This window comes from Homo sapiens, chromosome 14 (genome assembly GCF_000001405.40).
Source record: "Homo sapiens chromosome 14, GRCh38.p14 Primary Assembly".
In the NCBI taxonomy this organism is placed as follows: domain Eukaryota; kingdom Metazoa; phylum Chordata; class Mammalia; order Primates; family Hominidae; genus Homo; species Homo sapiens.
The window spans coordinates 92,736,718-92,748,627 of NC_000014.9; the positions used below are offsets into that span (position 1 = coordinate 92,736,718).

General features: G+C 47.4%; 1 protein-coding gene across 10 annotated transcripts in view; it reads right to left on the reverse strand.

The window, feature by feature from the left end:
* The window catches only part of LGMN (legumain), a 44,819-nt gene extending 32,909 nt beyond the window's left edge, over positions 1 to 11,910 (reverse strand). For 4 of the 10 annotated variants that reach the window (NM_001437403.1, NM_001437397.1, NM_001437394.1 and 1 more), the window contains exon 1: positions 11,772 to 11,910. The gene's annotated coding sequence lies outside the window, so the exon portion shown is untranslated. Of the gene's footprint in view, positions 1 to 4,344; positions 4,463 to 5,020; positions 5,138 to 6,958; positions 6,977 to 11,771 lie in introns of those variants that run through there. The other 6 variants (NM_001363699.2, NM_001363696.2, NM_001008530.3 and 3 more) reach the window with 4 other exon arrangements.

The following is an 11,910-nucleotide window of genomic DNA, read 5'->3' on the forward strand; positions in this document are numbered from 1 at the left end:
ATAAACATCCTGTGACTAGGAATACCTAACCTCCTGGGACTGCAGCCCAGCAGGTCTCAGCCAAATTTTACCCAGCCCTTGTTCATCATGGAGTCACTCTGGTTCAAGCACCCCTGGCAGCTCGAAGGTAAGGAACCAATACAAGATGCAATTATACAAACTTGTGAAGAAGCAACAGTGAGGACAGGCGAGAGAGAGTCAAGGAGCAAAAATATCCATGTCCCCCAAGCTCTTCAGTGACCCCACAAGAGAGGTGTGACAGTCACTACCAAGGTGTTCCAACCAACGGCTCTCACCTACTCGGAGCTCACCCAGCAGCCTCCCTGGAAAGCCTTCCCCTAGGGTAGGGGTAGGCTAACTTTCTCTGCAAAGGACCAGAAAGTAAATATTTTTGGCTTTGCAGGCCAGGCCATCTCTCTCACAACTATTCAACTCTGCCACTGTATCTTGAAAGCAGCCAGTCACCAAGTACTTGCATTTTTCTAAGAGATGGTTGAATTATTTTTGTCTCTCCTTTTATCATTCCTCTGGTTCCCCGCTTCCTGCTTAGCCCTTGAGAAACACAAATATAGCCTTTTACCCGCCCCTCCTTCACCAGACACTCCCTACAGGGCAAGTTCACCTAACTCCTCAAGAGTTAAGAGTTGATTTACAGACCAAAGCATGCCCAATACAGAACTCTCACCTGCCAGGAGGTTGCCTTGAGAGATACTAGTCAAAAAGCATGCCTGCTACTCCCTCCCACCTGGGGAGTTTTTGGCCTAGTCCTGCCCACAAAGATGCCAGCAGTCACCAGCTCAACCGACAGACAGCACAGTAGATAAGACACCAAGCTAACACGTGGACACCCCACCTTGCTTGCTTCCTCCCCTGCCTTTTAAAAGTGCCCACTTTCTGCTCCAAAAGCAAAGCAGTACATCTAAAGGTGGGATGCCTGTGTTTCTTCCCCTAAGCAACTTGGAAATAAATCACTTTCTTTGTACCAGATCTTGCTCTTGTTAATTGGACTCTGGAAGTGATGAATTACTAACCCATGAGCCAGTTACAGCCAGAGACAATATATAAACAAAAGAATAGGTTATGTTCCAATAAAACTTTATCTATAAAATAGGTGGTTTGTTTGGCCCATAGGTCATAGGTTGCTGACCCTGTCTGAGGGAGTGAGAAGATGCCCCCAGACCACATGGCAGGCACAGCCTGGCTGTTACTGTCATCTTTTATCAGCAATAAATGGGTTCCCTAGTTTGCACACCTGTTTATTCTGAGTTTCGTTCATATGACATAGTCTCAAAGAGCGTCATTCCTCTGGGGGCAATGGTGTGTGACTTTTACCCCCTCATATTTAGGAGAAAAATGAATAAATAAAATACCAGAAACAAACGGTTGACCTGACTGTGAACAACAGAACGGACACCACCTACTTATCCACCTAAATTAGCAAACACACAGCAGGCACCAAAAAAGCACCACTTGGTTATTTTTACAAAATCGAGTTAATCCTTCATTCTTCTAATCCTCTGTGAGAAAAGTGCCCTACTGATACAGAAAATGACATTTTCTTTTTCTTTTTTTTTTTTTTGAGACAGAGTCTTGCTCGGTTGCCCAGGCTGGAGTGCAGTGGCGCTATCTCGGCTCACTGCAAGCTCTGCCTCGCAGGTTCACACCATTCTCCTGCCTCAGCCTCCCGAGCAGCTGGGACTACAGGCGCCACCACCATGCCTGGCTAATTTTTTTGTATTTTTAGTAGAGATGGGGTTTCACCGTGTTAGCCAGGATGGTCTCGATCTCCTGACCTCATGATCTGCCTGTCTCAGCCTCCCAAAGTGCTGGGATTACAGGCGTGAGCCACCGCGCCCAGCCAAAAAAAATGACATTTTCATAGTCTCTACTTGGTGATGGTCCTGCTCCATCGTTCTTTTTTCTTATAAACACAGAGTCGTGATTCCCTGACTACAACGCTATATTAAAAGCCTCACATTACGTTGCCGAATAGAAAATGCTACTTTAAAAACCACATACATGGCCGGGCACAGTGGCTCATGCCTGTAATCCCAGCACTTTGGGAGGCCGAGGTGGGCAGATCGTGAGGTCAAGAGATTGAGACCATCCTGGCCAACAGGGTGAAACCCTGTCTCTACTAATAATACAAAAATTAGCTGGGCGTGGTGGTATGTACCTGTAGTCCCAGCTACTCTGGAGGCTGAGGCAGGGGAATCGCTTGGACCTGGGAGGCAGAGGTTGCAGTGAGCCAAGATCGCACCACTGCACTCCAGCCTGGTGACAGAGCAAGACTCTGTCTCAAAAAAAAAAAAAACAAAAAAAACCCCACATACACTAACACTATTTTGGGAAACACATAAAAATAGAAAGGCCTGGGGTGAAGAGAGACACAAAAGTAAAATAATCATTCCATTACCCTTGGCAATGAACATGCCTCAAAGTAGCTACCTTACATGCTAATTTCCTATGGGCATTTATTGTATGATTTTTGACAAAGTCAAGGTATCAAAACAAAGTCACCAATAATCTGGCAGCATCCCTATGATTCCTGGTTTATCAAAGTGAAAAACTGACAAAAAAGTGAACGACGCCGGCTAAACTACTCATTCTTTGTGACTCTGCTGTTTTTGGCTGTGGCTCTCCAGGGTCCCCATTACACAGGCCTCATCTCACAGAGGCATCATCATCATCTACCTCCTCTCCTTTAACTTCCTCTCCTCCTATCTACTCTCTCCTACATTCACCCCCACCCCGAATCCATCCAACAAACACGGACTGAGCACCTGCTAGCTGCTCACAGGCACTGAACAGTGAACCAAACAGACAAAACTCTTCGTGGAGGTGGCATTCCAGAGAGAAGAGACAGACCATTTAAAAACATAGGTTGTCAGATAGTGATGACAGTGATGGACAAAAATAAGGCAGGAGAGGGAGGGAGTCCCACTAGGAGTGGGAGGTGTCATTTGTAAAAGGGGAAGAAACTATGGAGGTGAGGGCACCAGACCATATATTAGGGCAAACCACTGGAAGCAACATAAATGTCTAGCTGGATCAATTACAGTACAGCCTTATGGTGGGATACTGTGAAGGCTTTAAAAAGAACCTAAGGCAGATCGTAACGTGCCAAGACTGGAAAGATCTCCCCCAGGGGCGCTGTTGGGACACATGCATCGTCTGCTAACCACGTGCAGGGAGAAGACAACACAGACAGTCGTTGCCCCAGCCAGGGGAGATCAGAGAGAAAGACTCCCAGCTGGGCACGGTGGCTCACGCCTGTAATCCCAGCACTTTGGAAGGCCGAGTTCGGAGGATCACCTGAGGTCGGGAGTTCAAGACCAGCCTGACCAAGGAGAAACCCCCGTCTCTACTAAAAATACAAAATTAGCTGGGCGTGGTTGTACATGCCTGTAATCCCAGCTACTCGGGAGGCTGAAGCATGAGAATCACTTGAACCCGGGAGGCAGAGGTTGCAGTGAGGCGAGATCGCGCCATTGCACTCCAGCCTGGGCAACAAGAGCAAAACTCCGTCTCAAAAAAAGAAAGAAAGAAAGAAAGACTCCCAGAGACTGGGATGTGTTGCGGAGTGGCACAGAGTGGCACATTTGTGGGTTATCTACTATGGACCACACAACGTGCAAGACACTTTATTCACACCATCCTCACAACAGTTCTCTGTAAGCAAGGATCCCCACTCCCTTCAGACAGGTGAGAAAACTGAGGCTCAGAAAGGTAGAGAAACTTGGTGGTCAGTGGCACTGCTGGGACCACGCAGATCTGACGGCAAAGACTGTGTTTGTTCCACTACATCACCTGCTTGTCACACAAAGAAAGAGTTGCTTATGTGAAAGTCTGGGAGGCCCCGGAACCACAGGCACTGCACCCTGCACCCCAGGGCCCGAGCACAGAGCAGGCCCTCACAGTTTCCTCCGGCAGTAGGACACCCACGGTGCTCTTTCGTGCCCTACTATTTTAAGGCACTGGTGGGCTTGCTGCATAAACAGCTCTTGTCTTAGAAGAGCCTATCAATGGAGTATCTGAGCTACACAAAGTCAAAGTCAATGAACAAGCCTTTACAGACTTCACCAGCCTCCAATGACAAGTCCTCTGCTGTTCCCACTCGGACTTCATCCCTGCTCAGGTTACAGGGCTATACCAGGTCAGTAATTCACTTAAAAGACTTCACTTGGGGCCGGGTGCAGTGGCTCATGCCTGTAATCCCAGCATTTTGGGAGGCCGAGACGGGTTGATCACTTGACGCCAGGAGTTCGAGACCAGCCTGGCCAACATGGTGAAACCCCATCTCTACTAAAAATACAAAAATTAGCCAAGTATGGTGGCACACACCTGTAATCCCAGCTACTCGGGAGGCTGAGGCAGGAGAATTGCTTGAACCCGGGAGGCAGAGGTTGCAGTGAGCCAAGATTGTGCCACTGCACTCCAGCCTGGGCAACAGAGTAAGACCCTGTCAAGAAAAGAAAAAAAAAAAAAAGACTTCACTTGGATCCAAGAAATGTACCATCAAGTCAGGTTTAATCCATTTGAGAAGTTTGGGATGCAGTGCCCATTCCAGATAAATTATCACCAACAATGCAAGTAATAAGGTCAAGTTCACAGGGCCATCTAAGTAGCAGAGTCAAGTTCACATCCAGGTCTGATACCAAAGCCTACACCTTAACCACCATCAGGAGTGACCCCTCAGTGCCAGCTACTGGCTCTGGGTTAGACACAGAAGACCATCAAAGCCAAGCAAAGCAGCTAGTTAGACAATGAAATCTGTAAAGAGCCTTCCAAACCTAAAGGTTTTGATCCTACTCTCTGCTTTCTAGGGGTTTAAAATAAAATCATCCTGAAGGCCAGGCACGGGGGCTCACACCTGTAATCTTAGCACTTCAGGAGGCCGAGGCGGGCAGATCATTTAGGTCAGGAGTTTGAAACCAGCCTGGCCAACATGGTGAAACCCCGTCTCTACTAAAAATACAAAAATTACCTGGGCATGCTACCTGTGCGTGGTGGTGGGCACCTGTAATCCCAGCTACTCGGGAGGCTGAGGCAGGAGAATGGCTTGAACCTGGGAAGCAGCGGTTGCAGTGAGCTGAGATTGTGCCACTGCACTCCAGCCTGGGCAACAGAGTGAGACTCCACCTAATAAAAAGAATAAAATCATCCTGCAAGGTTTTTCGGCTGACAATGTGCAGAAGAAATAAGGACAGGTGACAAGAACTGTCTCCTTGACCAAACCTTAGTCAGGCTCCACTGAGCCCTCTTCTCCACAAGGCCTTGGTCTGCCAGGTCCAGTTTTAGCAAGAATCCAGAAGAGAATCTCTCACCCTCGATATCTAATGAAGTTCCTCTTAGTAATATTCTATTGATGGGGTTCAGGACCCACTACCTCAAAAAATGGCACCTTAGTATACTGAATATTTTAAGGAATTCCACTAACCCCCCCTCACCTTGCCCATGGGCTATAAATCCCCAGCTGACCTTGCCATCCTAGAGCTGAGCTCCATTCCATACTGAAGTCTCTCTCTCCTATTGCAGTAGCTAAAAGAAAATGTCTTGCTGTTTTTTGTTTTGCTTTTTTTTTTTTTCTTTTTTTTTGAGACAGAGTCTCACTCTGTCGTCCAGAATGGAGTGCAATGGAGTGATCTCAGCTCACTGCAACCTCCACCTCCCAGGCTCAAGCGATTCTCATGCGTCAGCCTCCAGAGTAGCTGAGATTACAGGCATACACCACCATGCCAGCTAATTTTTGTATTTTTAGGTTTTGCCATGTTGGCCAGGCTGGTCTCGAGTTCCTGGCCTCAAGTGATGCACCTGCCTTAGCCTCCCAAAGTGCTGGGATTACAGATGTGAGCCACTGCACCCAGCCTGTCTTGCTGTTTTTAAAAAATACCCATGCGTGGCACACTGGCATATGCCTGCAGTCCCAGCTACTTAGGAGGCTGAGGTAGAAGGATTGCTAGAGCCTGGAAGTTTGGGACCAACGTGGGCAACACAATGAGATCCTGTGTCAAACAGAAAAAAATTTAAGAAGCATTGGATACAGGCTGGGCGTGGTGGCTCGTGCCTGTAATCTCAACACTTTGGGAGGCCAAGGAAGGAGGATCACTCAAACCCAGTAGTTCCAGACCAGCCTGGGCAACATAGGGAGACTCTGTCTCTGCAAATACAGCCAGCATGATGGTGCATACCTGTGGTCCCAGCTACTCAAGGGGCTGAGCGGGGAGGATCACTTGAGCCCGGGAAGTCAAGGCTATAGTGAACCATCCGGCCTGGGTGAGAGAGCGAGACCTCTGTCCTCTGTCTCAAAAAAAAAAAAAAAAAACATCTGATGCAATTTTTCTTTAACAAAAGATATAGCTACTAACTCAGGGGAGACCCTTCCTCTCTCTGGGCCTTCACAGTCCATCTGTGAAATGAGATGGTAGAGCTTATTAAAGGGTCATTCAGTCCTTTAAATCCTTTGATTTTCTGGCTAAAGAATGGGATTAAAACAAAATCCAGGGCCGGGCAGTGGCTCACGCCTGTAATCCCAGCACTTTGGGAGGCCAAGGCGGGTGGATCACGAGGTCAGGAGATCGAGACCATCCTGACTAACACAGTGAAACTCCATCTCTACTAAAAATACAAAAAAAATTAGCCAGGCGTGGTGGCGGGCACCGATAGTCCCACCTACTCGGGAGGCTGAGGCAGGAGAATGGCGTGCACCCGGGAGGCGGAGCTTGCAGTGAGCCAGGATTGCCCCACTGCACTCCAGCCTGGGCAACAAAGCGAGACTCCGTCTCAAAAAAAAAAAAATCCAGGCCTGGTGTGGTGGCTTGCGCCTGTAATTCGAACACTTTGAGAGGCCAAGGTGGGTGGATCACTTGAAGCCAGGAGTTCAAGACCAGCCTGGCCAACATGCGAAACCCCATCTCTACTAAAAATACAAAAATTAGCCAGGCATGGTAGCATGCACCTGTAATCCCAGCTACTCGGGAGGCTGAGACATGAGAACTGCTTGAGTCCTGGAGGCAGAGGTTGCAGTGAGCCGAGATCAAACCACAGCACTCCTAAGCTGGGCAGCAGAGGGAGACTCTGTCTCAAAAAAAAAAAAAAAAAATTATCGTTATCATCATCATCATCCAACTAGATCTTAACTCAGATGAAAAATCTAGGCCAGGAGCAGTGGCTCATGCCTGTAATCCCAGCACTTGGAAAGGTTGAGGTGGGCGGATTACAAGGTCAAGAGATCAATACCATCCTGGCGAACATGGTGAAACCCCGTCTCTACTAAAAATACAAAAATCAGCTGGGTGTGGTGGCATGTGCCTGTAATCCCAGCTACTCGGGAGGCTGAGGAAGGAGAATCGCTTGAACCCGGGAGGAAGAGGTTGCAGTGAGCCGAGATCGCGCCACTGCACTCCAGCCTGGTGACAGGGTAAGCTCTGTCTCCAAAAAGAAAAAAAAAAAGAAAAAGAAAAATCTATTTTACTCAGCTTCGTTTATTGTTGTTTTTTCCTACAGAGAAAATATGATTCATTGGCAAACTAGCTTCTAGATTAGAGCATACTCTTCACGGTTATCTAATTCTAATTTATAGGAGTTATTTTATAATTCTGCATACTATGGGTAACAGCAATGCAAATAATTCTAGTCTAGACAGGCAAATGCATGTTACCAAATGTAGGTTCATTTGACTTCCTTCCCCCTCTGTAGAGAGGCCAGTTTTGTCTTTCATTTGCAAATTCAATTCAGTATTTCTAATCTACAAATTGGCTGTACTTTGCAGTCTCCAATACCTCATTAATGAGTTAAATAAAATCCTTAACACATGTTCAGTTTTACATTTTACAGAGTAATGACTTTATCTTTTTTTTAAGGAAATTATCCTTTAGTTTTTTTTTTTTTTTTTTGAGACGGAGTTTCGCTCTTGTTGCCCAGGCTGGAGTGCAACGGCACGATCTTGGCTCACCACAACCTCCACCTCCCAGGTTCAAGCAATTCTCCTGCCTCAGCCTCCCAAGTAGCTGGGATTACAGGCATGCACCACCACGCCCGGCTAATTTTTTGTATTTTTAGTAGAGACGGGGTTTCTCCATGTTGAGGCTGGTCTTGAACTCCTGACCTCAGGTGATCCGCCCGGCTCAGCCTCCCAAAGTGCTGGCATTACAGGTGTGAGCCACCGCGCCTGGCCTATCTTTTAGTATTATGGAAAGTATAAGCAAGTAACACGTATTTCAAAAGAAGCAGTCAAAAAATGTTTTTAATCTATTAATGGTTAGAACTTAGGTTTCTAGGAAAGGAAATTTGGGTCAACGGTGGGCACAGTGTCTCCTGCCTGTAATCCCAGTACTCTGGGAGGCCGAAGCCAGAGGGTCACTTGGGCCCAGGAGTTTGAGACTGGCCTGGGCAAGATAGTGAGACCCAGTCTCTACAAAAAACAAAAAAATTTAAAAATCCAAAAATGTCGCTCAATGCTTAATAACTTCTCCACATTTTAATTTTTAATGCTTATTTGGCATTTGAGTTTTCTTTCACCCAACTTACTATTTTTGAAACCTGGGACCAGTGCAGTTTGCAGCCTTTTCCCAAAATGACTGAGCCTAACTTTTTATAGCTACATGTTAACTCAAGTTAAATTTTTACTTTAACTTTTACTTCAAGAAATTGAAGGGTGGACATTAACCTATAGAAATGTACAAAGAATAACATAAAACACCACTTACCTATCATCCAGACCATTCTCTGTTATTTTATAAACCCACTCATCTTTTTTCCACATTACAGACGAAATTGTTCCTTCTGTCCCATCCCATCCTCCCCACACTGCAAAGTTATCACTATCCTAAATTAGCATTTCTTTCCAATCGATTTATTATAAAAAGATACATACCCACTCTACAAGCATTCCCCTAGTAATGGACATTTAGGCTGTTTCCAATTTTTTAAACCATTATAAACAGTGTTGCCACAAACAACCCTAATATCCTGCCCCTTGTATACAAATGTCTCTGGCTTCTTAGTATTTTCTAGAAGTGGAACCACTGATCTTAAGATATATCCAATCTGCTAGTGGCTACACTGCTCAAAGATACACTTGCAACCCATAGTGAAGGAGAATCTCATTTTCTTTTTTTTTTTGAGATGGCATGTCCCTCTCTGGCCAGGCTGGAGTGCAGTGGCGCCATCTCGGCTCACTGCAACCTCCGGCTCCCTGGTTCAAGCAATTCTCCTGCCTCAGCCTCCCGAGTAGCTGGGATTACAGGCACGTGCCACCACACCTAGCTAATTTCTGTATTTTTTAGTAGATACGGGGTTTCACCATGTTGGCCAGGATGGTCTTGATCTCCTGACGTCATGATCCGCCCGCCTCGGCCTCCCAAAGTGCTGCGATTACAGGCACGAGCCACCGCGCCCAGCGAGAATCTCATTTTCTTCAAACGCTTATCATCTCTTGATAGTGTCAAACTTTGCAATTCCTAATCTGATGAACATACAATGATCTAATTATAGTTTCAATGTGCATTTCCTGGATTACAAGAAAATTTGAGTCTTATCATATGATTATTTAACCATTCAGATTTCGATACCCTCAGTACATGTGACAACTTCCCCCTGATAAACTGGGATTCCAATTATGGTCTGCAAAGCAACTTGTGCAGTTAAAAAAAAAGAATATGCTGGACATTTCTTCAAAAGATAGTCATCGGCTGGAAACCTCAAGAGACAGAGTTTACTTCTACATATTTCTTACTGATTAATGCTGTGGTATGGTGTATTCTACCTCCTTAGAGCTATCAAATCTTTTCTCCTCCCGTCCCACTGCAACTGTCTTTAAAACCCTTGTAATTCTCCTGGGGATTACTGCAATGACCTCCGTATCCTTAGTGTGGCCTTTCTCCAACACTTTTCCACACTACAGAGTATCTGAGATACAGATCTACAGTAAATGTGGCTTCCTGGACATTCAGGATAAACTCCAAATCTCTCACAGCAGCACAGGAAGCCCTGGAAGATGTACCCCTCTATTCTCACACTCATAAAATCCCACCACCAGCCGGGCGCGGTGGCTCACGCCTGTAATCTCAGCACTTTGGGAGGCCGAGGGGGGTGGATCATGAGGTCAGCAGATCGAGACCATCCTGGCTAACACGGTGAAACCCCGTCTCTGCTAAAAATACAAAAAATTAGCCGGGCGTGGTGGCGGGCGCCTGTAGTCCTAGCTACTCGGGAGGCCGAGGCAGGAGAATGGCGTGGACCTGGGAGGCGGAGCTTGCAGTGAGCCGAGATAGCGCCACTGCACTCCAGCCTGGGCGACAGAGCGAGACTCCGTCTCAAAAAAAAAAAAAAAAAAAAATCTACCACCCACATGAAATCCCTTTACTGCACCAGACTCCACGACTCCAGTGCAAAAAGCATTGCTCTTTCTCTGCCTTCATCATGCTGTTTTCCAGATGAAACACTTTTCTCTTCCTTCATCTCACTAGGTTCTGCCCAGCCCTCAAACTCCAAGGCGAGACGTGGTGACTCATGCCTGTAATCCCAGCACTTTGGGAGGCTGAGGCGGGCGGATCACTTGTCAGGAGTTCGAGACCAGTCTGGCCAACATGGTGAAACCTCGTCTCTACTAAAAACACAAAAATTAGCCGGGCATGGTGGCAGGTGCCTGTAATCCCAGAACTCGGGAGGCTGAGACAGAAGAATCACTTGAACCGGAAAGGTGGAGGTTGCAGTGAGCCGAGATCGCACCACTGCACTCCAGCCTGGGCGACGGAGCGAGACTCCGTCTCAAAAACAAAACAAAACAAACAAACAGAAAAACACATAAACTCCACTCAAGCCTCCCCACCTCTGCGAAGTCTCAACCTCTCCCACAAGTTAGGGTTAGATGCTGCCCCTGTACACACGTGTATACTCCAGCCCTTTAACACTGGAACTGTTCACTAGAGATTGTCTCTCCCCTTTATGAAACAATCTCTGCTCAAAAAGCTTAGTAAGGCTCGAAAATGTTTGCTATGCAAGTCCCAGAGTAAAGAAAGCTGGGCTACTCCATTCACCACATACCACAGGGCTAGTCAACTACCCTGGGCACTCCTTTTCATCTATAAAACAAAGCACGCGACACAAAGTTTCTTCTTCCAGCCCCCAGATACTATAATGCTTGGCATAGAACACTCCACGTAGGTATAACCTCAAATCAAATAGGGACGGGAAAGGAAACCAGTTAACTTTCACTTCCAAGATTGAAGCGGGTGGTCCTGAAACTCTCACCAGCTCAAACCTCCCAGAACCAGAGCTTCCCTGACTTCTCTAAATAGATGTCTTTATAAGCTTGGGTATTTCTGTTGTCGTCGTTAATAGCCCTTTCCCACGGGTGCAATCCTCCACATTAAGAACATCAAAAGTCTGAACTGTTCCTAGGTCGTAAAGGCTGGAACCAAGCCCCAGTCCCAGTAGGGGCCCTTGGCTGCGGGATCTCAGCAAATCCCGTCTCCTCCCGCGCCTCAGTTTCCCCCTCCAGAGCACTGAGCCCTTCCAGCCACAACACGCGTGAGAAACGAGAAACCTCCACCCCCAGCCCCACCAAGCAGAGGCCACAGGGTTTCCCTTCCCTCGGGATTCACTGTTTCCTGAAATTCCCCCTCGCACGGTGAGAAACTGATTACTCAGAAAGGGACGGGAAAAATGAAAATCCCAGCCCTGAGGTCGAGAGCCTGAGAGAGCAGACGGGAGGCCCTGGCCTCGGGCGTGGGGACTGAACCCGGTTCTGTGCTGGGGCTCGCGGTTACCTGTGGCAGGCGACCGTGGTGGCAGTGGTGGCGGCGGCGGCGGTGAGTGACCGCGGTGGTGGCGCCGGCGGGACCGTGAGAACTCGCGGCGGCTCGCAGCCTCACACCAAACACCCACGACGTCGGCACTGCTGTGATT